The sequence below is a fragment of the Homo sapiens genome, chromosome 6 (genome assembly GCF_000001405.40).
Source record: "Homo sapiens chromosome 6, GRCh38.p14 Primary Assembly".
Lineage (NCBI taxonomy): Eukaryota > Metazoa > Chordata > Mammalia > Primates > Hominidae > Homo > Homo sapiens.
Window position 1 is genome coordinate 108,832,389 of NC_000006.12, and position 25,660 is coordinate 108,858,048.

The 25,660-nt window shown below is 42.4% G+C and overlaps 1 protein-coding gene and 1 pseudogene across 17 annotated transcripts in view, besides 1 other annotated feature; one reads left to right on the plus strand and one right to left on the minus strand.

Annotated features, from left to right (window-relative positions):
* The first annotated feature begins 16,033 nt into the window (after positions 1–16,033).
* The window catches only part of ARMC2 (armadillo repeat containing 2), a 204,619-nt gene continuing 194,992 nt past the window's right edge, over positions 16,034–25,660 (plus strand). For 12 of the 17 annotated variants that reach the window (XR_007059340.1, XR_007059341.1, XR_942600.1 and 9 more), the window contains exons 1-2: positions 16,034–16,158; positions 21,837–22,097. Coding sequence is in view for 11 of the 17 variants with exons in the window: in XM_047419396.1 (XP_047275352.1) it covers positions 21,880–22,097 (218 nt within the window). In the remaining 6 variants the exon portion in view is untranslated. Of the gene's footprint in view, positions 16,434–19,255; positions 19,368–21,836; positions 22,098–25,660 lie in introns of those variants that run through there. The other 5 variants (XM_006715573.3, XM_011536166.2, XM_005267154.5 and 2 more) reach the window with 5 other exon arrangements.
* Positions 16,292–16,391: a silencer, noted in NCBI's record as "silent region_17455". NCBI's record gives its function as "represses an Ori minimal core promoter by ATAC-STARR-seq in GM12878 lymphoblastoid cells {active_cell/tissue: GM12878}" and the evidence as "EXISTENCE:reporter gene assay evidence [ECO:0000049][PMID:35858748]".
* Positions 23,965–24,349, minus strand: RPS12P13 (ribosomal protein S12 pseudogene 13; annotated as a pseudogene).

The following is a 25,660-nucleotide window of genomic DNA, read 5'->3' on the forward strand; positions in this document are numbered from 1 at the left end:
GATTACATGTGTACCTTTTGAAGAACTAAGAAACTTTTCCTGGAAATCCCTCAGCAGATGTGTCTTCATGAATCATTGGTCACACTGAGTCACATGCCTCTTCCGTGAGGTAACATCAAGGAAATGGAATGTCCACAACTGGCTTAATCAGAGTAGCTGGGAAGGGGGCAACCTTCCCCAAAGCTCATGGCCACAAAGAGTAAAATAGACAGCTGGACAAAGTTAGGTAAGATTTTGTTAGCAAATAGTGGACATTTGTCACATTCGTGGCTGACTATATTTGAGAAATTTCCCACTTTATGAGTCCTGCCCACCAAAGAGGAAAACAGAATTCATCTTCCCAGTCAGCAGGCATGTGTGGGTACAGGTATGTCACCTGGACTCCTCCAATCAGACACACCTGCATAATGCCTGAATTCAGAACTGAGAAAAGTGTGGAATCAGGTGCCAGGCAGAATCCGTGTTTCGGTGAAGGTGGAGGAGCATTGCAGAAAGACAGTCAAGTTTTCGGAGACAGCTGAGTGGTAGCATCCTGTGCATAGCATCTGCGCTGTAGGCGGCAGCGGATGCAGGCCTCCGCTGGAGCAGCTTGGTAGGATAATTTGGGTATTGTTCCAGGTTATGTAGCCTTCAAGCCTTTATTTTCCAGCCCTCCTGGAAATTCTATGAGCTCCCTATGTTTCTCAAAAAATTCCTTTCTGGCCTAAACTAACTTGAGTGGGTTTTGTCGTTCATTACCAGGAATTCTGCAAGGAAGAAGTAGGCAAAACTGTGTCCACTACAGTAGGGGATCAGTAGATACTGGGCACTGCAGAACACCAGGGTGCCGTACGCTCTGTGGAGCACCGCAGTGTAGCATTCACAGACGATAAAGTATGAAGATGCCGCAGAAGTTATACCCCGACGCCAAAGTCGGCTTCCTTTCTGCCACTGTCTTCCTTGTGATGCCCACTCACCAAGCTTTCCCTGGAAGTCTGCCCAGGCTCTCCCTTGAGACTTGCCACTGAATGGCTTGACCCCTGAGGGTTCCTCCCTACCCCGGCCTAATGGGTAGGTATATAACTTAATACAGTGTGGAAGTAATCATAGACCAGTCCAACCAAGCCAAGCAAAGCATAAATGTAAACGTTTTTAAAAACAAAATGCTACAGAGTGATATAATGGGCTACGGGGTGGGTGGGGGGTGCTGAGGGATCGCGCCTGTAATCCCAGCACTTTCGGAGGCCGAGGCGGGTGGATCACGAGGTCAGGAGATCGAGACCATCCTGGCTAACACGGTGAAACCGTCTCTACTAAAAATACAAAAAATTAGCCGGGCGTGGTGGTGGGCGCCTGTAGTCCCAGCTACTCGGGAGGCTGAGGCAGGAGAATGGCGTGAACCCGGGAGGCGGAACTTGCAGTGAGCCGAGATCGCGCCACTGCACTCCAGCCTGGGCGACTGAGCGAGACTCTGTCTCAAAAAATAAAATAATTAAAAAAAATGATATATTGGGTAGAACGTACACTACTCAGGTGACGTGATGGGTGCGCCAAAATCTCAGACTTCACCACTATACAATTCATCCATGTAACCAAAAACCACTTGTACTCTAAAAACTACTGAAATAAAAAAAAATTTTAAAACATGAAATGCTATGTATGCTTAACTTTGTATCCTCTTACATATAACCAAAAGGTAATGTACCTACCCTGCAATTAATTTAACATTTTTATCAAACAAAAAATATTATGGCAACTATGAATGATACTTTAAATAACAGAAGGAAAAACTGCACTTAAAATTCTGCTTCTCCCCCTGCCTCAACAGAACTATTTGTGCCTCTGAACATTGTGTCATTTGTATATCTCAATGCCTCTACTTTACCCTTATATGCATTAAATGGTTACAGTATATTTTACCTAACCACTACCACCCTCACTAGATGGTTAAGAGGCTTCTGGCTTGCAAATGCTCTTATATTAATTTTGTATTAAACAGGTGTAAAAGATTATTCTTCTTTTGGATAATGCAAATCACTAAATCATATAAATATTTCTAATGGCTTTGCATTGCTATTGGCAATGTAGGTGTGGACGAGTTCCACTACACCATCACCAGCAATGGGTATTTTCTAATATTTAATAGAAGCAAAATGGAAACTTACGCTGTTTTATTCTGTAGATTTTAATGTTATTGATGGTTTCTTGTGATTGTAAAGATGCCCTCATTCAGCATTGTCATAGAATCTTCAAAGACACTGAGTGAGCACCAGGCTCATGGGTTGTAACTGTGATAAAGATGTGAACATTATCAAGAACGTTTCAGAAAGTGCCATGTGGTTTCTTCAGGAGCTGGTTTTAGGCAGAATTAATCCTTTTAGAGGGTTATTATATTGGATTGTCCTAGTTATGTCAAAAGATGGCCTGGGGGAGGGGATTTCTTCATTTGTCTGAGCATTGCTGAACATTTACTTTCAAATTTTCTGCTTAGTGCATAATGAAGAATGTTCACCAAATTTGTGGCAGTAAATGTAAACTGTATTCTTGACATTTGAAAAATCTGACATAGATTAATATTACAGAACTATAGCAGTTCTCTGTGACATCCCTTCCCAAAAATAGAATTGCTATTTTTTAGATAAATTATTCCTCCTTTTCCCTATTATTTTATCTGCCACAAATATAAGCAGTGACTTTAAAACAAATAGCGATTGAAAGAAATTTACATTTTGGCAAACATAACTTAATTTTGAATGCTAGGATAGGCTTTCTCACAGAAAGCCAGGGTCCTGAAAAACAGAATGTTCTTTTCTGAACTGCATTTTGAAAAGGGAAATTAATCGTAATTTTTGCTTTTCCAGGCCGTGCCATCCCCGGGGAGGACAAGAAAAAAGTAACAAAAATAATTTTTGGCTTCAAGCACCCAACAATGGAAATGCTGAAACCCATGTCCTTTAAGTCCTTTTCTTCTCCTAGCAGAGGGCCCTCTGCCTACATGGGGCACCGTGGTGGCCATTTAATGTACTCCTGCTTGGTACCCACCTCTGCTCTGCCCCCTGGTGGCCACAGACACCATTGCTGCTGCCTCAGCACAGTTTGACCTTGTTGCTGCCAAGAGCCACCTCTCCTCTCATCACTGTCCCCACTCTCCTGCCATGCCTCAGGTGGCTGCTGGCAGAAGAGCAGTGGGCTTTGTTTCTTCAGAACATCACAGCAACCACTGTCTTATCAGCTCACACCCTCAGGATCTTACTGCCCCTTTTCCCAAAAATCTCCACTCCGGCAACCCTGGCCCTGCATCATTGAAGGACATTTAAGTGATATAACATATTGTTGCCTCAAAAAAGTTTTTTCCCTCTTCAACAGCTGGGACAACTGGATAACCACATGCAAGAGAATGATGTTTGGCCACTAACCACACCATACATACAAATTAACTCAAAATGAATCAAAGACTTAAATGTAAGAGCTAAAACTTAGAACAAACAGGAGAAAATCTTCACAACCATGGATTTGGCAATGGATTCTTAGATAAGATGCCAAAAGCACAAGCAACACATGGAAAAAAAGAGATACATTAGACTTCATCAAAATTAAAAACTCTTTTGTGCATCTAAGGACACTATCAAGAAAATAAAAAGAAAAACTACAGAATGGGAGAAAACATTTACAAACCATATACGAAAGGATCTAATATCCAGAATATTTAAGAAGTCTATGACTCCCCAACAAAAAGACAACCCAATTTAAAAATGGCCAAAGGACTCGAATTGATATTTTTCCAAGAAGATACGCAAATGACCAACACACACTTGAAAAGATGCCCAGAGCTGGACATGGTGGTATGTTCCTGTGGTCCCAGTTACTCAGGAGCTGAGGCAGGAGGATCACTTGAGCCTAGGAGTTCAAGCCTGGAGTAAACTATGATCTCACCACTACATTCCAGCCTGAGCAACACACGGAGACCTGGTCTCAAAAAAAAAAAAAAAAAAAAAAAGATACTCAATATTAATAGTCACTAGTGAAATGCAAACTGAAACCACCTTGAAATACTTAACACTCACTAGAAGGACTAGGACTATAATTAAAAACACAGACAATAGCAAGTATTAGCTAGAATGGGTAGAAATTGGAATCTTCATACACTGCTGATGGGAATGTAAAATGGTGCAGCAACTGTGGAAGACAGTTTGATGGTTCCTCAGAATTTTAAACAGAATTACTATATGACCCAGTAACTCTTGGATGGAATAAAAACTTTGTCTACACAAAAACCTGTACACAAATAGCAGCACTATTCATAATAGCTAAAAGGTGAAACAATCTGAATGCTCCATCAGCTGATGAATGGATAAACAAAATGTGGTATATCTGTGGAAAAGAGCATTACTCAGCCCTAAAAAGACAAAGGGAGTACTGATACATGCTGTAACATGGATAAGCCTTGAAAACATTATACCTAATAAAAGAAGCCAGACCCGAAAGGCCATGTATTATATGATTCCATTTATACAGAATGTTCAGAATAGGTAAATCCAGGCAGACAGAAAGCAGGTTAATGCTTGCCAGGGGCTGAGGGGAAGGAGAAATTGGAAATGGCTGCTTAATGAGTCCTTTAGGGGTGATGAAAGTGTTTCGGAACTAAATAGGGATAGTGGTTTTACAGCATTGTGAATGTACAAAATGCCACAGAACTGTGTACTTTAAAATGGTTAATTTTATGTTATGTTAATTCCATCTTAATAAAGAGATGAAAAGTTTACAATTTGTTAAAAGGTCTCCTCCAACACTGATGCGTATTCCCCAGAACAGAAACCTTCTGTGTCAGGTCTCCCGAGGCCGGAACATCAGTCCTGGGGCCGTCTATCATTTTCTTTCAGAAATCTCACTGGGGCCTCACGTAAATGGAACTGGGAAGGGGCAGGAAAAAAATGTCCCTTGGGCCACCGAGGTCTTACTATATAATGAAATAAATGATTCCCAAATATGCCAAAACTGGAGAGCTTATGTAACCAAGAAAACCCGTAAGGATGAATGAGCAGAACAGCAAGTCAGTGGTTTGGGGTTGGTTACATTTGTGGTTAAGGAAGGGCAGGGAGAGGGGAGGAGAGGACTGGGGGAGGGGAGAAAGAAAGAAGAAACAGAGAAACAGAAAAAGGAGACAGGAAGGCAGACAGGAAGGCAGGAAGGAACAAGGAAAAGAGAGAGAAAAGGAGGAGCCAAAAGAAGAGAACTCAAGATCCCTTTTCTAACTTTGAGACCCTGACAACTTTGCCTGTGGCATCTGTCCTGCTGTGAAGGATGACTCCAAATTCAGTTTCATTTCCCCACAATGCAAGTGCATCTAAGTCCCAATTCTGTGGTTAAAGCTTGAAAAAAACGCAGAAACCCACATGTTGCATTTTATTACAGCATTAATGCCAGTAGAAGATAATGAGTAATGCTAGCACCTTTTCTCTCTACAACCTGGGCTAGGAGTGTGACCAGCCCCAGAGAGGAGAGGAGCCTTTTACCTCTGTACTTACACAAAGGCTGCCCTCTTTGGTGTTGAGGGTGGGCTGTGTCCTCCCCATGCCAGGGTATCACTCCCTGGCAAGGCTTTCTTGGCTAAACTGATTTCCCCACCCCTCTGCTTCCTTCCTGCACCCCTTGTCTTCACTTTCTTCTCTCAAATATCTCTCGGTACCACATAGATCCACTTATTTCACAGACCCAGAAACTGGGGCCACGAGCTCCCACGATTTCTCCCCCCATCACAAGTGGTTAGGAGCAGCAGCCGTGTGAGCACTGGTGTGAGCGGACGTGTGAGACTTCACCAGACTGCGGGTCCTTAGCCGGGAGCTCCTTCCCAATCGTTCACACCGGGCCTTGCTGCCTTTACATCTGGGAGGCTGGTGACCCCTACAGGTGCCTGCAAAAGGAAGGAGTTTCTTGGTGCCAGAGGAAGAAATGGAGAGACTAGAAGTGAGAGTGCTAGCAGAGGTCTGTCGCTTGGCCAGGCCTGAGTGAGGGAGGTGTGCGAGGGAGGCTGAGGGCGCTCTGTTTGTGACCGGCCCTGTGAGAGTCTGGGCGGACGCGGTGCGGCTGTGCCCAGAGACAAGGGAGGCTTGGATCCAGAGAGCCCACCCCGCCACTCCCACCTCAGAGTGCCCTAGGGGAAGGACAGCAGAGCCACGCCCTCCTCAAGAAAAGGCACTTGCAGCTGCGGTAGTGAGGGGCCCTTGAGAAGGCGGGAATGGGAGGGAGAAGCGGGCTTGTTCCTGTGCACAGGTGAGGTGGCACCGCCACAAGCACTCCCAGAAATGACTGGCAGCCTGGGGAGGCGGAGGCGAGAGGGGTCTGGGGAGGTGACTGGCGGTGGAACTGCATCCCGGCACATAAGCGTTACACTTGAGGACACTCTCACCCTGCATAGCATATACTCAAGTTCACGTTCGTTTGGTCGCTTATTCCACAGAACATCCATATGTTCCAGCTTCCATTCTTGTGTGGAGGGCACCCAAAGGTGTGCAAGAGGGACAAGATCTCTGCTCTCTGGGTGCTCGCCTCCATACAGTTTAGCATCTCCATTCTCTTCTTGGAGTTCCCCACTCCGTGACCCAGATGGACAAGAAGTGTAATACACAGTGGAAAAAAAAAACACACACCAATAACTGAAAAAGAGTTTGGGATAGCTTTGAAAACTTCCTGCAGAGGCATCATTAATCTTTTTTCTTGGTAAGGTTCTTGAAAGCAAGGCCTGTATGTCTGCAAAGGACCTCCTTTACCAAGTGCTTGGCGAACATGAAATGATGCTGTTCCATTTGGGATGGGCTTTCCTCCTTGCAGACATGACCTCAGGGTGGCTCCTGGCGGGAGACCCACAGGGGGCTCTGTCTGAAGCTGCTGTAGGAGACCAGCTGGTACAAGAGGCAATCACAATGTTTTTTAGTGCAAAGCCTGGTTGGGTGCAAGGCTGCAGTGGGAGGTGGCGCATCACGTGGTGGGGAAGTGGTGGGGGTGGGGGGTGGGACCCTGCCGCCTAATTAGAGGGCCGGGGAAGGTAGGATCAGTGGAAGGCATGAGCAGCGGCAGCCAGTGGACAGAGTGCAGCAGGGTCCTAGCAGAGCCAGGGCTCTCCACTCCCGATAGAAAATGAGCTGCTGTGGATACTGCCAGCGAGGCCAAGAACTCCTGCCTTTGAGTTTGAGCTCTCAAAATCAAAATGAAAACAGAAACATTTGTTGCTTTCTATAACCTAATAAGAATGGTGATTGACACACCACCCTTCATTTTAACACTCTCTGGGTGTGAACTTTAAAAAAAAACAAACAAACAAAAAAAAAAACAACCAGAAAGAATAATTTCACCAAATGACTTTCAGCACTGAAATTCACTTTTCCTGGGCAGTTAAGCCAAGCTATTGGTTTTCAAGTTTCAGAGGGAAATTGTTTTATCCACACTGCATTGTGGAATAATCATCCTATTTATTTCCAGAATGATATTTCCTCTGCATTTTAACTTTTCACCTATAAGCCTTACAGAGATGAGATAGTAAGCAAGAGAGTGAAGAGGTTTATTTTAAACTTTTTATTTTGAGATAATTGCAGAGGCACGTGCAGTTGTAAGAAATAATATAGAGAAATTCTAAGAGGTCCTATGTACCATTTGCCCAGTTTCTCCAATGGCAACATCTTGCCAAACTATAGTGCAATATCATAGCCAGGATATTGATCGATAGAATCCATCACCAGATTCACATTTCCCTTGTTTGATACGTGTTGTGTGTGTATAGGGGTGTGTGTGTGTGTTTAGTTCTATGAAATATGAAACGTTTTGTGCTCTGATAAGGAAAAGTGCTTTCCAAGTACACAATGATTATCAGGACATTTTCTTTGTGGTTATTACTTCCGCATTTTTGTTTTTGTTTTTGTTTTTGTTTTGTTTTTGTTTTGAGACAGAGTCTCGCTCTGTAGCCCAGGCTAGAGTGCAGTGGTGCGATCTCGGCTCACTGTAAGCTCTGCCTCCCGGGTTCACGCCATTCTCCTGCCTCAGCCTCCCAAGTAGCTGGGACTACAGGTGCCCGCCACCACACCTGGCTAATTTTTTGTATTTTTAGTAGAGATGGGGTTTCACCGTGTTAGCCAGGATGGTCTCGATCTCCTGACCTCGTGATCCACCCGCCTCGGCCTCCCAAAGTGCTGGGATTACAGGCGTGAGCCACCGCGCCCTGCCTACTTCTACATTCTTGGTAGATAAATTTGTAGACCCTATTTATGTAATATCTTCTATCTAATAACATAAAGACTTGTGTGACTGTTCTCATGTCAATGAAGATGTGTGCTTAACATCTTTAGCTTTTAAAGATCTTGCTATTAGAAGCAAGATACATTCAGCTAGATTTGGAACCTGCTAGGATTCCTTGAATATTTAAATATTTAAACCTGAAGCCGGACTCCACATTTCCTTGAATGATCACAGTTAAATCAAATTTTTCTTTTTCTCTATTTAAATTGTCCTTCTTGTCATATTGCCAAAATAATATATTCTTGGGCTAGTAACTCAATAGCACATAAGTACATCGTTGTTGGTTGTTGTTTTTTTTAACTGAATTTGAGTGCACTAAGGAGAGGAAAAAAAAATAAGTGTCCTGGGGGACCTCCTTTTAGCCCATGGGTCCCCAGACTGCCTAGGGGGTTCCTTCTAAAGGAAACTCACTTCTGTCAACACCCAAGAGAACCAGGAGGCATGTCTCTCCCAGAGTCGCAATCCCTGGGGGTCACTGCCTTCTCTGTGGGGTGGCGCATGCAGGTCTTTCTGTACACAGGTGTTGTTAGCACAGCACAAGGGGCTTGAGGTACCAACTACTGACAGTTCAGGCTTTCTCTCCTCCTATCCCCTCTCTGTGAGTGCCTCATCTGGCCTCTTGGGACCTCTGACCACCCCGACTTTCTCCAGGACAGTAACCAGCCAGGCCACTTCTTGAACTTTATCATCTGGCTCTCCCATCTGAGCCACCTCCAAAATCTCTAACCCTCAGCCCCCTGACAACAACCTCCTCCTGTGGAATCCCAGAGCTCAGCAGTATCTTAAGGGTCATTTGGTTCAACTTCCACATCTCAAAGAAAAGACAGCTGCAGCTATTAAGTGACGTGACCACAGACACACAGCTGAGGGTGTGTGCCTGTATGACCTGGGTAAGCGAAGAAACAAAACCTCAATTTCTACGCATGTAGAATGAGGATAATAGCAGTACTTTAGGGTTGGAAGAGGAACTGATTTAAAGTGAGCAAAGCACTTTAGTGAGAGGCAGCATTTGAATTAATAAGATCTCCTGACTTTCCTTCCTCAAACTGCCTCATCTGCTCTGTTCCCGTCAGTGACCTCAGTCCTCCAGCCTCTCCCTAACCCTGCAGACCATTCCTCCTTCTCCCTTTACTTCCCCATCCAGCCTAGGCCTGTCGCCTGCCCCTTCAGACTTTGTTCTCTGGCCATCCCCAGCCCTGGTCATCCCCATACACACAATTTCTGCTCCTCCTCCTGGGCTATGGGGCATTGCTATATAAAGCCGTAAAGGGTGGGTGCTGACTGGATCCACTATGAATTTGACCAATTGATCTTTCTCTCTCCTGTGGACTACTTCAAGGTGAATTCCTCTTTGCAGTCCTTTCCGATGGGTGCCCAGTGCTGAGTAGACATGCTTGCTGAGTATCCCATGGCAGGGACCATTCAAAACCAAGGCACAGAGGCGGAGAGATACAGCGGGTGATCAGGGAATGGCAGCAGTCTGGTTTGGCTGAACGTGTAGTGTCTATAGGAACATGGCCTCCTAAGTCCAATGTGATGGTTAATACTGAGCGTCAACTTGATTGGATTGAAGGATGCAAAATATTGATCCTGGGTGTGTCTGTGAGGGTGTTGCCAAAGGAGATTAACATTTGAGTCAGTGGGCTGGGAAAGGCAGACCCACCATTAATCTGGGTGGGCACAATCTAATCAGCTGCCAGCGTGGCTAGAATACAAGCAGGCAGAAAAATGTGAAAAGGAGAGACCGGCCTAGGCTCTTAGCCTACATCTTTCTCCTGTGCTGGGTGCTTCCTGCCCTGGAACATCGGACTCCAGGTTCTTCAGTTTTGGAACTCGGATTGGCTCTCCTTGCTCCTCAGCCTGCAGACAGCCTATGGTGGGACCTTGTGATCATGTGAGTTAACACTTAATAAACTCTCCTTTATATATATATATATATATGAATATATATACACATATATATGTATATATACACATATTCATATATATACATATATTCATATATGTATACATATATTCATATATGTACATATATTCATATATGTACATATATTCATATATATGTATATGAATATATGTATATATGTATTCCTGTATATATGTATATATGTATTCATATTCATGTATGTATGAATTCTTATGTATTATATGTATATATATGAATATCTGTACATGCACATGTATATATGTATATGAATATATGAATATATACATATGTATACGCATATATACATATATTCATATATGTATACGCATATATACATATATTCATATATGTATACGCATATATACATATATTCATATATGTATACGCATATATACATATATTCATATATGTATACGCATATATTCATATATGTATATGCATATATACATATATTCATATATGTATATATACATATATATTCTATTAGTTCTGTCCCTCTAGAGAACCATAATACACCCAACAAGCTGGGCTTGAATCCTAGATTCACCACTTTCACCACCTGTATGTCGACCTGGTTAAGGGAAGAAACAAAACCTCAATTTCTATGCTTGTAGAATGAGGATAATAATAGTACTTTAGGGTTGGAAGGGAACTGATTTAAAGTGATCAAAGCACTTAGCACAGAGCCTATGACATCTAACCCCCAAATAAGTCCTAGTTCTTAGAATAACAGAGAACTACAGACTATCATGCATATCACGGAGGATCTGAGACTTGACTTGGTGGTCAGTGGGCAGACATTGAGAGCTCCTGGGCAGAGGGGGTGGGAGGGCATATCCAGAACTGTGGTTTATGACACTCACTTTGGTTGCTGAGTGTAGAGTGAACAACACTCTTGGAGCAGGAAGGGAGTGGAGTGGGGTCAGAGGGGCCAGTTGGAGACGAGATGCAAAAAGTGCCCAAGATGGCCCGGTGATGGTGGGGGTTGGTGGGGGTGGACATGGGGGGGTACACGTCTTGGAGAGCACCATGAGTCTGCGACATGGGGTTTTTCATCTCTGGGTCATGCATAAATTAGGCTCCTCTCCATCCCTTGTGTTCTGAAAGCCAGGGTTTCTTCAGGCAGCTCTGCCTCTTGCTGGGTTGTGGCTGAGGTTCTCAGGCAGGGGAGCTCTGGCTTCACCAGGGCTGAGGTTCTCCAGGCTGGCTGTGCACACCACAGTCACCTCAGCAGCTCTAAAAGGCTGGCTCCACTCTCCCATACTCCCACCTATCCCAGGCAGCGAATCAGTTCATCTGGGTGGGTTCTGGGCCGAGATGGTGCTGAAGCTCTCCAGGTGACTCCGCTGTGCAGCCAGGATGGAGCCACAGTGAGACCAGGGACCAGGCGTCACCTGAGAGTTAGTACCAAGATAGAGCACCCTGCCTTGTGTTACACCTCCAGCTCTCTCCAGGTGGGACAAGCAACTGCCACAATCTCTTGATTCTCAGGACTACTCTCTATTACAGTATCAAGAGATTGTGACAGTTGCCCATTCAGACTGGAGAGACCTGTCACCAGACCACTGTGGCGGTCTTCCAGATCTATCCAATAGCCGCTGCCCCTCCTTCCTGCTGAACAGAGATCCAGTTTGCTTCAGGTTGTGGCAGCAAAGGGCTCAAAGTGGTCTCCTCCCCCCAAAACCCGAGGGATGAGCCTTGATGGATTGAAATCAGTCACAGTAGTGGTAGCCCCATCCATCTCTGCCAGGGCCTGGTATGTGGCCATGTGACACAGCCTGGCCAATAAGATGTAAGGACAAAGTGACCAAGGGGCTTCTGGGAAATGTTTTCCTTCTCAGTGTAGAGATATACATAGAGAGGGCCCTTGCCCTTTCCCAGCTCAGTGCAGCCACCACCATCTTGTGACCATGTGGGGAGACTTGACTGATCTTCCTTGGTCCCTGAGCTGCAGGGCCAATCCTGAAGCAGCCCAGTTCCAGTGATTGTTAAACAAAACAATAAATGTCCTTGGCGTGTAAGCTACTTTTGGTGGAATATTCTGTTATTTGCAGGCAAAAGCTTCCAAAAGATACAGGCATGCTCACTTAGTAATGTCTCATAGGTGAGTTGGACAAAGAATATTGGGTTTCTGATTGTCTTAATTGGTCCCTTTTAACATCCAAGAGTTGTTCAGGATGAAGTAATTCATAGTTACAATCCTACTGACACTGACATACTCCCTGAAAACTAGAACCTCCTCCCTTCCAGTGAAATGCAGGGTCCTTAGAGACTCTGTAATCTACTGGTAATTAAATGGACCCTCATTAATTAGCACTCCTGTCAACAACTTGGCAGCTTGGTGGAGCACGTGGCCTGGGGTGGCAGGGGTGGTACGGGATAATGTACTTAAAGGTAAAGTAATACTTAGGTGTACAGGTCACAGCTGAGGCCTAATAAAGACAGGATTTACATAAACATTTTAGCTGATAAGTTTTAGGACAATTCCACAGTCTCATGTCTATCCAGTTCCATGAAGTTAGTTAATTTTCATTGAATTGTAAATTTCCAGCGAGTTGCATTTTAATGTATTTGTGCCTTTAAATTTGTATGCAAAGATTGCATAGGCTGTCAATTTGATGAACTCCTCACACTATATTGTGTGATATATATAATTAAAGCACCAAGATTCTATATTGACAAAAGCAGAAAGTGTCTTGAAGTGAATATTAGCATTCTAAATTGGCAATTTTCATTCCATGCCAGAAGTATTTCTTCCCCCTGTGAGTCACAGCTCAGTTGTAGTCATAAAAATCACTGGGTGGTGGGGGGGAGTGGGGGGAATTGTGAACATTAAAGAAGTATTTATTTAACCTGTATCTTTTCAAGAATATATCTAATAGGTAAATTAGGATGAGCTATAGATATTAAACAGAGGTGTATGTGATAGAAACTATGATATAAACTGTAAAATCTACTAGTAGAGTCTGTGGATAAAAAGCATCTATGAGTTCATCATTCTGTTACAATTTTTGCATCTGAGACTGCATAAGATTGTATCATTACCCAATCTCCTGCCTATATAATTCTTGCTTTAATTCAAAATCCAGAAATTCAGAAGCCATTTTCAAGTGAATGTAAAGATTCTTCAGTTCCTCTTGATCCCTATAGCCCCATGCAGCTCTGGGATAAGTGAGAGGAGGAAATAAAGAGCATAGCTTGACACCTTCAGTAGCCTAGAAAGTACCTTTCCATGCTGGGGGCAAAATGCATGTATAATAGCAGCATGGCGTACTGAACTTGGGCATCAAGAATCCCAGATCTGAAGGTCCTTTTACTAGCTATGTGCCTGTGGGCTGATCACTTCACCTCCCTGAACCTCAGTTTTCTTCCATCTCAAATTGAGATACCTACTTTCCAGGCTTATTGTAAACTCCAAATTAGACAAAAGAAGTGAAGTGTTCCAAATAAAAGCAATTTGGGAACCATAAAGTGCTTTATAAATGTCAGATACTTATAATACTTTGTCTTCCTCTTTAATCTCTCTAAAGTGTGTGAAACATGTCAACAGTTTTGTTTCTAAAGCAATGCCACTTACAAAACCGATGTGAAATAGCCATCAGGTAGCTGTGGAGAAACAGCCAGGTCAGTATAATACGCCACTGCTGTTGACAGCCTAAGTATTTTCTCATATAGCGTCCTTCAGTGAGGTAAGTTGGGGAGCTTCATTGCTTCAAATAACTGCTTCCTCTAATTCTGCCCATGTCATTCTTTTCAATTGTGCTAATTTGCCCGGCAGATATTTCCTGGCCAGCTGAGTTGGGTAGCATCGGGTTCCAGTAGCTTGCTTATGGTCTATTTTAGACCAAGATCCTAGGGTGCAAGACCACAGCTAGTAATTGGCTGTACCAGAGGTTTTTAGGTTGATGTTTCCACTGAGATGGTAATTATGTAATCATCAGTTCCAAGTGAGGTGAGGCAGAGTCTCCATAGGGCAGGTTACAAAGAAACCTAAAACCCCCTCAGCCTCTCACCCAGGCTGAGGCTAAAAATAAGGGGTCAGAGAGTGGAAAGGGAAGATGTGTGGGGAAACTTCTTTGGAGAAAGGAGTGTGGGGTGCTATGCCCTTCATCTCAAGCCAGCGAGAGGGGCTTCCCCAGGGGCCTGGGACTGCCAGAGACTGTAGTTAGGTGGCCTGGAGAACTGGAGCCTGACTCACTCCTGGGTAAGCTAAAGCTCCCTCCTATGGCAGCCTAGAAGGGGCTGCACCCAGACAAGCCTGAGCTCTCAGAATCACTAGGGTAACAGATGTGTAGGGTTTCCCTTGGGACCTATCTAAAGGGGCACTGAAAGGTGGAATAAACCCTGGGTTTTTAGGATTTCCAGAAGCCCCCAGGAGGGAGGTCCCCATCAGTGGGAGACTACAAAGGACCAGGAAAGACCTACATGAGCTGCTTTAACCATAAGCCAGCACAGCAAGCTTGAAGCTGCTCAACTCCAGGAAGAAATGCTCCATCTCCTTCCTTCTCCTCCTCCTCCTCACTGCCAGTTTGATCCAAGCTGGGCCTTAAACAACCTCTAGTGAATAGAGGGGCGGGTGGGGGTCGGGGACAAGCCTAAGCCTAGTGCACCCCTTCAGGGAAGGCCAGCTAGAGACCTTAAGCCTGGGGCTGGAATGGGGGAGGAAGACTTTTTGAAGTTTGATGCATTTGTTTATATCTTGCACCCAACATTATAGTTTTGAAATGAAGCTGTGGTTGAGATTTAGTTACAACAAGACTGTCAGTTATCTAAGAATGAGCAGAAAAATCCAGGGCTGTTTCGGGTCCTAAAATTATCCAATCAACGAATAGGTATTTATTTTCTGTTATGTTTGAAATCCTCTTGAGTATTTTGAAGAATATTTACATTCCTTTAGTTCAGGTTAGTATAATTTCCCACCTGGCACGATGCCTTACACATAGTATGTGCTCAAAAATATTTTCAATTTAATTATTCTTTACAAGATGCTTAGCACCAAGGGAAGTGGCATTTTCCCAGTGTTGATGACAAATAGCACTTCAGCTGGAAAATCTCCATATTTATAAAACGTGGTGCAAACCTGAATGGAGAGTGCTTATGATCTCACTTTTATTTAACACTGTACAGTGTTGCTAAATGGTCTAACAGGAGAAAAGGGAATTTAAACTAGAAACACATAAATGGAGTGCTTTTTGCCGTTCAACTGTGATGATGCACGAACAAAAAACGATTGGCCACGGGAGACCTAGACTGGAATCTCCTTCTCCTGCTCACTACACCTCAGGCCCCCAGTTCCTCTCCTGTGGATGGGGACGCCAGGCTGCCTACCTCAGACTCAGAAGGTACGATTACGTGCATACACTCTGCGAACTGAAGGGCTGTACAAATGCAAGGGCTTAATAACAGCCAACAGTTTAATATTCGTTGATTGCCACGTGCATAGCGCTTTACATCTATTTTCTCATGCAGTCTTCATAACAGCCCAAGACCTACCTAGGTACTATTATTAATATTTCCTGCCACTTGACATCGGAGGAAACAGAAGCTCAGCAAGTGGCTCCAGGTTATACAGAGCCCTAACCTGAGCCAGTAAATCCTTCTTACCCACAAGCATTAAGCTTCCGTCCTGCCTGCTGTTATTTAACAGAGGTGCTGGGATCCGGCAGGGGAGCAACAAATGTGGTTCGGCAAATTGCTAAACGAAAAGCGGACACCCGCCCACGACGCCTGCTCTGATCTGACCTCCCGGCCTACAGCCCTCTCCAGGCTCCTCCCACCCGCTCCGGCCGTCGCCACGCCTCGGAGCTTCTACGCATGCGTTGGCGGGACCCGCGCAGGCCCAGTGGCCGAGCGGCGTCGTGGGGTTACCCCGCCCGCGCCAGCGCTGCATCCCTGGCCGCTACCCGGGGAGAGCCGGAGGATGAATTGAACCTCGCAGCCGCTGCTATCTCCAGTGCTCATCACAGGTGCTTTGGGTCAGGTCGGAAGCCTCCTTCCCTGAGCCCTCGCCAAGCTCATTCCCCGGCCCGCCTCTCCCGCCCTGCAGCGGCCTGGCCCTGCGGTCTGGCTGCCGGGGCGGCGGCGGGAGGTAGTTTGTGTACGGTTACCATGGAGACGCTGGCTGCGGGGCGAAGTGGGAGGGTGGCCGGGCGGGGTGAGGATGCTGCTGCGCCCTGCCCTGGCCGGGACCGTGGAGGAGCGGGCACTGCCGTGGGTGGGGGAGCCGCTGTCCGAGCGGGAGGTGAGGTGTCCCCAGCGGCTCCCCAGGGACCCTTCCTGCCGTCGTCCGCCTGTGTGTCCTCGGATGGGGTAGAGAGACGATGAGTGCCCTGTGCATGCTGTCAGGGGTCCGGAGCGGTTGTCTTTTATTTATGTACTGTCGCACTTAGCCAAGTGCGTGGTGCTTAATAAGAAGCCCAGTAATATTTGTTGAATGAGAGTGGTAGACTAAGGGGCTTTGTCTAGGCAGGCGGTGACCGGGCCAGAGTCATACAGTTTATATCTGGGCACTTCCAGGCAACAGGGCCTCAATAAATAAAAACGTATGTGTAACAATATTTAACATACTTTAAAATCATGGAGTGTATACATAATGCCTTTTGTGATCCATTCCCACAAGTAACACAACAGATCTTACGTCCCACCCTGATTTATAATAATTATACTTTAATTTGGTTGAAAAGCAAGCACCATTTATTATATTTATCCTGGTTTCTTAATCTATGGGATTCTGGTTGTTGATGTTGATTTGGCATAGCTGATATTCAATAAAATGCTTAATAAAAATTATCTGTTTTCATAAAGGCAAGTACCACCACCCACCTTTTAAAAGGAGAAGTACGTAATGTAAATGACGAGTTGATGGGTGCAGCAAACCAACATGGCACATGTATACCTATGTATCAAACCTGTACATTGTGCACATGTACCCTAGAACTTAAAGTATAATAATAAAAAAAAACTTATGTATAGAAACACTGAACAAACGTCATTCTCTCTTTTGCAATTTCTTTTTTTAAATGTAGTTTTTCATTCGTGGAAATGATTTTGCTGTATCCTTTTATCATGTAGCACTTGGGCAATAATTGTTAACATCTTTAAGGGCCATATTTTAAAATGTTAACATTTTTAAAGCACTGTGCTAACGCACTTTACATGTATTATATCATTTAATTCTTCAAACAATCCTATGGGGCAATTATTATTACTATCCACCTTTTATAGATGAGGAAACTGATGCTTAGAGATATTAGAGGCATTGCCTAAGGTCACATGGCTGTGAATTGTCAGCATTTAAACCCTTAGTCCAGCATCTAAGCACTTAACCACTGCCTCTTTGGATGCTCATATTAATACAAAAATGATTCAGAGTTATGGAAGGGTCCTGAGTATTTGATTTGCAGGGAAGACTGTGAAGCTGGCCTGCTTTTCCCCTGTTGCAGACATCCTGGTAGTGCAGTGTTGCATTTAGCAAGAAGGCTCTGGTTCCAGTGGCTATTAGCAGCAACGATAAAGACAGGTCTTTATAATTAGTTATAAACTTCTATAAATTATGACTCTGAGCTTTCACCCAGACCAGTAGGAAATATCTTGTTGAAAAAAAAGTTCTTCACTTTCAAATTTCCTACTGCTGGTGGTGTTCACCCTCTAGAGGTCCTGTGGATACCATGGACTCAGGATAGTGTGATGCAAGACAGAACTCAGCCTCTTTCTTCTTTCCTCTTGAAATCAGCTTCTCCTCCTGTTTCTTTTAAAAGGTCCCTTGCCCTCTGGCTCCCCTAGGTTTGCATACCTAGTGTTGTTTCTGGCCTCTTCCTGGAATCATGGATGCCAAATCCTGTTAATTCTGTTCTCAGTGCACCTCACTTGTTCTCATCTCTCCTCTAACCTCTGCTTCACCTTGACTCCTGTATCTCAGGCTTTCCGTACTTCACTCATTCGTCACAACATTGAGTCCTACTCTGTGCCAGGCAACTTGAAATAAAGGCAAGACAGGGAAAGGAGGCTAAATCTGAACTCATCTGACCACATAACATCAAAAATCAGATTTGAAATAAGGTCCAGATTTCATAATTCACTGTAACAAATATCTCCAGTTAGAGAAACTATGCAGCCTTCATCTGAAAATGTCTTAGCTCAAGTCTATATTTAAAAATGGAGTCTAGTGATTACGTAAGTGTTGACCTTCAGCTGTGCCTCACGTGGACGGTTGGGGCAGAGAGTCTCGGGCCAACACCACATGTACAGGGAATTCTAACACAGTGGGAGAGTGGAGTGGCAGAGACCAGCCCGGGGCCTTTTGGAGTCTGGACGAGGGGCACTTAACTCAGGCTAGCAGGGTGGGAGAGGCATGTCCAGGAAAGCTTCCTTGAGGAAATGACCTTTGAGAGTTAGCTGGGTGATTACATAAAAACTGTCTGATTTCACTACTTCTGATCTTTGCCCTCCTTTCCTTCCTGCCCATCTCTGCCAGATCACATCATCCCTCAAAATGTTGTATTTGATCTGCTCATCAACTTTTGATTTCTCGCCATTTAATTTATTTGGTTCAGCCCCAATGGCCATTTTCAGAGTTCCCTCTTGTCCACACACACCCTGTATGTCTTGATGCTCTGCGCTGGCTCACTTGCCGACTTTGTTGGAACTTCCTTCTCTACTCCAGCTCCAGTGCCAGCCACTGCCACTTGCTCAAATTCAGCCCTTCTTTCACAACCGAGCTCAAGCACCACCTCTTCCAGGAAGTCTACCTGATGTCTTCCCCCAATCAGAAATCTCTTCTTCCTTTGTGATCACATAAGTAATTTGTCTCTATTGTTTTTATTGCTGCCATCAGTTTCTACCTTGTATTTAAATCATTTGAGTATAAGCAGGGTAAATACTCACTGGGTACGTACCAGGAAGGCTGCTCCTGTTGGGAAAATATTGGGGTCTCTGTGTGAATGGGTTAATAGTTGCAGCCCCAATGCCTCTAAGTGCCCCACCTCCTACCAGCCATCTAGTGGGTAAGAGTTTGAATATTATCTGTGGGCATATATCATAGCTTTTTTTTTTGTATTGCTTAAGACCCTGTCCAGACCATGGATTACATGGTGGCTCACACCTGTAATCCCAGCACTTCAAGAAGCCAAGGAGGATAGCTTGAGCCCAGGAGTTTGAGACCAGCCTGGACAACATAGTGAGACCTCATCTCTAGTTATTATTATTATTTTTTAAAAGATTCTATCCACCTTGCAAAATTGTTGTGGGGTTAATTGAGATAATGCAGTCAAGAGTACTTAGCACAGTGCTTGGTGTTAAAGTAAATGTTTATCTCACATTAGTGGTTCTTCTTGCTTGAGAGTGAAGACGGTCTTTTATTCCTCTTTGTGTTTCCTCTTCTGTGTTTCCCAGAGATCTAAGCAGAGGGCTTTGCACATAGGAAACAGTTAATCAGTACTTCTAGCTGAGTGGATTTGCTCTACTTGGAAGGAAAATTTTGTAAAGTTAGAATTTCTGTAGGACTATTGTGTTATGGTTCAGGTATACTTTAAGTAGATAAGCTTTCAGGTCCTGAGTGATTAATTTTTCAAGTTGGCAAAAACCATCTATAATAATTTGTAGTTTAACAAATATCAATTTAAAAATCCTCCCCCCAAAGCCCCACTTCTAATTCTTCTAAGTCAGTTCACATGTATTATTAAATATTTCCATGATTGATTTAGTGAATATTAATATATGATCATAACATTGTGCAGATTTTACATTATTGTACAAGTTTCTCACAATATAATTGTTAAAGTGAGATTTGGTGGAAAAAAGAAGAAGGATAGAGAAAATTGTGTTAGAATTTTTGGTAAAAATTTGTAGACAAAAATATTTTTAGCCCTGTATCTACATTGTTTCTATCAGTATAGTATTTGGTCAGTCTAAATTCCTATATGCCCCCAGGTAATTCACAGAATTTTTAGAGTTTGACCTGAGTAAATGTTCCTGCTTCATCACTCTCTGAAAGAGTATAGTTTTTAATGCAAACTCAAAGATAGCCAGAGAGAACCTTAGGTCAGGAGTGAGAGTCTATTATTACTCCCCACAGAACTTTCTCTAATCTTTATTAGATTTGCCAGATTACTTTTGGACATTGTTAGACTTATTAGTGCCATGTGAGGCCAAAGGGGTGGCAAACCTGATTTAGGCTCTGGAAGAAGCCTGTTTATTATACAGAAACCTCTTCTCACTTAGTGGCATAATTTCTTACTGCAATAGGTCTTTTAGAAACAGACCAACAAACCTGTCATGGCTGCTTAAGTTAGATGTTACGGGACTGAATTTGTATTATGCATCCAAAAATAATATACAATATGTAGATATAAAAAATTGTGTATATATTTTAAATAATTATGATTGAATATTCTAAAGTAAAAGCCAATCATTTCAAAAGTATTGGAAATAAAATGTACTAGGCCTCTCATCATTTTTGATAGTTATATTAATGAATGTAATTGTAGAGACTGTGCTTAAATTCAAAATCCTGTATCAAAAATTCCTAAAATAGTATTGCTTATCAAGTAATTTTTTTACTGTTTTAACTCAACACCTGGCATTTCCATATGAAAAGTATGACATATTGTTTATAGTTTTCATCAGAAACTCTTGGGGTGGGGCCTGTGTAGAAGGAAACAAATGTTCTTATTGTCTGTTGTTATGTAACAATGTTTAGAATCATAATATAGTAAATCTTTATTTGTCTAAGGAATCACCTGTTGATTCTACTTATAGAAATGGAATCTTTTTAGTTTCCTGGGGCATGTGTCACAAAGCAGTTTTCTGTTGTGCAGAAGTTATTCTAAAATTGGGTAGCTGAAATAGGTGAAAAATTCATAGATCTCTGTCTCTTTAGAGATATGACATTTTATGGACTTTGAGTTTTTTTTTAAGAAACACCTAATGCTATATACTCATTAGAATTACATTTTAAAAATCTGTCCTATTTTAAAGTTCAGATTTGTCTCCATGGAACACACCAACATTTGAGAAGGATCTGCATTCTCATGGCCCTTGTAATGACTTTAACTCTTTCAGGAAGGGGTGTTGGGAAAGGATCAGTTGGTATTGATATTTGGTATTTATTTACTTAGGTCATTACCTCAAATTATAGGTGAGTTGAATCAATTCATTCAGTTATATCATGGACAAATGTGGGGCTGAACTATTCTCTGAGGTTTGTTGCAAAATCAAGTGTCCTTTAGAAATACAACATTTCTGTCTAAAATGTAACCTTATAGTATCACTAGTGTGGAGGGCAGTGGGGAAGAAAAGGAAACTGTAAACATTTTAACAGAACCCTCAGTGTTTTTTGTAGGCTGAAGACCATGAGATGATTCGCTCTTCCTATTCTGTCTTCTTTCATGATTAGTCTTTCTCTCTGGGTTTAGCTTTCATCCTGGTTTTCTTTCCTGCACATCTTTGTCCTCAGTTGTATATTTTTGAGGAAATTTTCCTCTCTACATTTTTGAGAGCTGTTCTCAGATCCTAACCTTCTAACTGCTTGGTGGATTTTTAAAAGCTTAATATAGAGGAATGATTTAGTATATGGATGGGCTTAAGCATTCGTTTTTATAAAGTCCTGGACAAAAATAATGATGGTTTTTGTACCATGTATTTGCAGGGTGTGGTGTCTATCTGAAGAATATTTTACTTTCAAAGGAAAGATGCTGTCTCCAAATGATAAAATGTTAGGAAAACTGGATCCATTTTATCAACCTTCAGTGTCCAAGCAGAAGACCAGTGCAGAAATCATAAGTGAAGCAAGAAATGCATTAAGAACAGTTAGAACCCAAAGACCATTTACACCACAGGAGGCTCAAAGAAAACTATTCGGACCTGCATCCTCAAGAACATCAGAAAATAGACCTCCTTCCTCCTTCAGGTATATGGCATTTCACATTCATGTTCATTCAGATATTTAAGCACCAGGTTATACCTTCCCTTAATTCTACTTAAGGTTAGCTTTTAAAAATAGACTTATTTTTTAGAACAGTTTTAAGTTCACAGCAAAATTGAGTGGAAGGTACAGAGATTTCCCATGTACCCCCTACCACAACACATCTGCAGCATCTCATTATGACCATCCCCCACCAGAGTGGTACATTGGTTACCATCGACGAACATACTTTGACACACCATTATCACTCAAAGGCTGTAGTTCACATTGGCGTTCACTCTTGGTGTTGTACATTTTATGTGTTTGGACAAATTTCTGATGACATGTAACCACTATTATAGTATTATACAGAGTAGTTTCACTGCCCTACAAATTCTTCACTCTGCTTATTTTTCACTTCCTTCCCTCATCCCCTAGCAACCACTGATCTTTTTACTGTCTCCATGATTTTGCCTTTGCCAGAATGTCATATAGTTGGAATATACAGTATGTCACCTTTTCAGATTGGCTTCTTTGACTTAGTAATATGCATTTAAGTTTCCTCCATGATTTCTCATGGCTTGAATAGCTCATTTCTTTTTAGTGCTGAATAATATTCCATTGTCTGGATGTACCACAGTTTATCTATCCATTCACCTACTGAAGGACATCTCATTTGCTTCCATGTTTTGGCAACTACAAATAAAGCTGCTATAAACATCCATGTGTAAGTTTCTGTGTGGACATAAGTTTTCTTTCTTTTTGTTTTTCTTTTTTTTTTTTTTTTGAGATGGTGTCTTGCTCTGTTGCCCAGGCTGGAGTGCAGTGGCACGATCTCAGCTCACTGCAAGCTCTGCCTCCCGGGTTCACGCCATTCTCCTGCCTCAGCCTCCCAAGTAGCTGGGACTACAGGCGCCCGCCACCAAACCCAGCTAATTTTTTTGTGTGTTTTTAGTAGAGACGGGGTTTCACCATGTTTGCCAGGATGGTCTTGATCTCCTGACCTCATGATCCACCCGCCTCTGCCTCCCAAAGTGCTGGGATTACAGGCGTGAGCGACCTCGCCCGGCCAAGTTTTCAACTCCTTTGGGTAAACACCAAGGAGCATGATTGCTGGATCATATGGGAAGATTGCGTTTAGCTTTGTAAGAAACTGCCAAACTGTCTTCCAAAGGGGCTATATCATTTTGCCTTCCCACCAGCAATGAATGAGAGATCCTGTTCCTCCACATCCTAGCCAGCATTGACATTGTCAGTGTTCTAGATTTTGGCCATTCGAATAAGTGTGTAGTGGTATCTCATTGTTTTAAGTTACTTTCCCTGGACATGTGATGTGGAGCATCTTTTTATATACTTATTTTACATATGTATGTCTTCTTTGGTCAGGTGTCTGTTAAGGTCTGTGGCCCATTTTTTAAATGGGTTGTTTGTGTTGTTGAATTTTAAGAATTATTTATGTATTTTGGATAACAATTCATTATCTTACATGTCTTTTGCAAATGTTGTCTCCTGCTCTGCAGCTTTTCTTCTTCTTCTCTTGATAGTGTCTTTTGCAGAGCAGAAAATTTTAATTTTAATGAAGTCAAGCTTATCAATTCTTTCTTTCATGGATCTTGCTTTTGGTGTTGTATATTAAAAGTCATCGCAATACGCAAGGTTTTCTAGACTTTGTCCTATGTTATATTTTAGAGATTTTATAGTTTTGTGTTTTACATTTAGGTCTGTGATCCATTTTGAGTTAATTTTTGTAAAGGGTGTTAGGTTTGTTTTTTGTTTGTTTTTGTTTTTGTTTTTGCATGTAGATGCTAGATGTCCAGTTGTCCCAGCACTGTTTTTTTTTTCTAGGAATATGAGCCAAAGTTTTACTTGTTAATTTCTTGCATTTGAAGTACTCTTTGATAACATCCTTGGCTTGAGACTTTTCCCATAGTCCTACCACACAACTACAACCAACCATTTTATGGGGTTTCCCTCTCTGTCAGTTTTACAGAGACCTACCCATTACCCTAGTTTCTTGTCATCAACCTTAATTAGGTGGATTTGGTGTTCAGCTCAAAGGGCCTCCATCAATTTGACATACACAGGCTCATCACAGTTAGATGAAAGCCACAAAGATGGGCTTGGCTCTTGTCTGACGCTTTGACAGCTTCGCAAATTCCTTGTGCTAGGCTGACCTGGATGAGAGTGGTCTTCAGCACCTCTTTTAAAGCAGTATTAACATCCACTGCACCTCCAGCAGCAGTGTCTTCCTCAGCCATGGCAATGGGTTATGAGGGAAGGTGGATCTTGAATACACTGAGCCTCCACCTCAGCGAAAGAGCCCAGCACCATTTTTTGAAGAAGCTATGTTTTCTCCATTGTATTGCCTTTGCTCCTTTGTCAAATATCAGTTGACTGTATTTATGTCAGTCTAGTTTTGTGCCCTCTATTCTGTTCCATTGATCTGTTTGTCTTTTCTTTCACCAGTACTATACTGTCTTTATTATTGTAGCTTTATAATATGTCTTAAAGTCAGGGAGTGTCAGCCCTTTTAATTTGTTCTTCTTGTTCAACATTGTGTTGGCTAGTCTGGGTCTTTTGTCTCTCCATAGAAACTTTAGAATCAGTTTGTCAATGTCTACAAAATGACTTGCCAGGATTTTGACTGCGATTGCATTGAATCTATAGATCAAGTTGGGAAGAACTGACATATTGACAATATTGAGTCTTCCTAGCCATGAAAATGGACGATCTCTTCATTTATTTAGTTTTTTGATTTCTTTCACTGAGTTTTATAGCTTTCCTCATCTAGATTTTATCCATATCTTGTTAGATTTATAACTAAATATTTAGTTTTTGGAGTGCTAATATAAATGATAATGTGTTTTCATTTCAGTTTCCAACCTTGTATCTTGCAACCCTACTATAATCACTTATTAGTTCCTGGAGCTTTTTGTCAGCTCTTTAGGATTTTCTACATAGATAATCCTGTTATCTGGAAAGAGTTGTTTCTTCCGTCCCAATCTGTATGCTTTTAATTTCTTTTTCTTGTCTTATTGCATTAGCTGGGATGTTCTGTATGATACTGAAAAGCAGTAGTAAGAGGGGACATCCTTGCCTTCTTCCTCATCTTAGTGGGAAAACTCTTATCATAAAATATGATGTTAGCTGTAGGTTTCTTGTAGATATTCTTAGAAGTTTTCTTCTATTCCCAGTTTGCTAAGAATTTTTATTATGAATGAGTGTTGGATTTTGCCAAATGCTTTTTCTGTATCTGCTGATATGTATTCTCTTTAGCTTGTATTTTATGTATCTTCTTTAGCTTGTGGTGTGATAGATTACATTGATTGATTTTCAAGGTAGTTGTCTTTTTAAATTTGACTTTTGTTCAAAATTCCTAAAAGTAATTACAAACATTGGTTCAGGAAGTTACTTTGGAATGAAATGGTTACTAGCAGTTGTCCCATACCAGCTTTATAAAGTGATATGAACAAAGCTTTTTAAAAAATTACTCTATACACTTCTTCTTTTCATTATTCAGTATTTTTTAAACTTCCTAAAAGTAATCAAAAGACTTGTTAATCAACTGT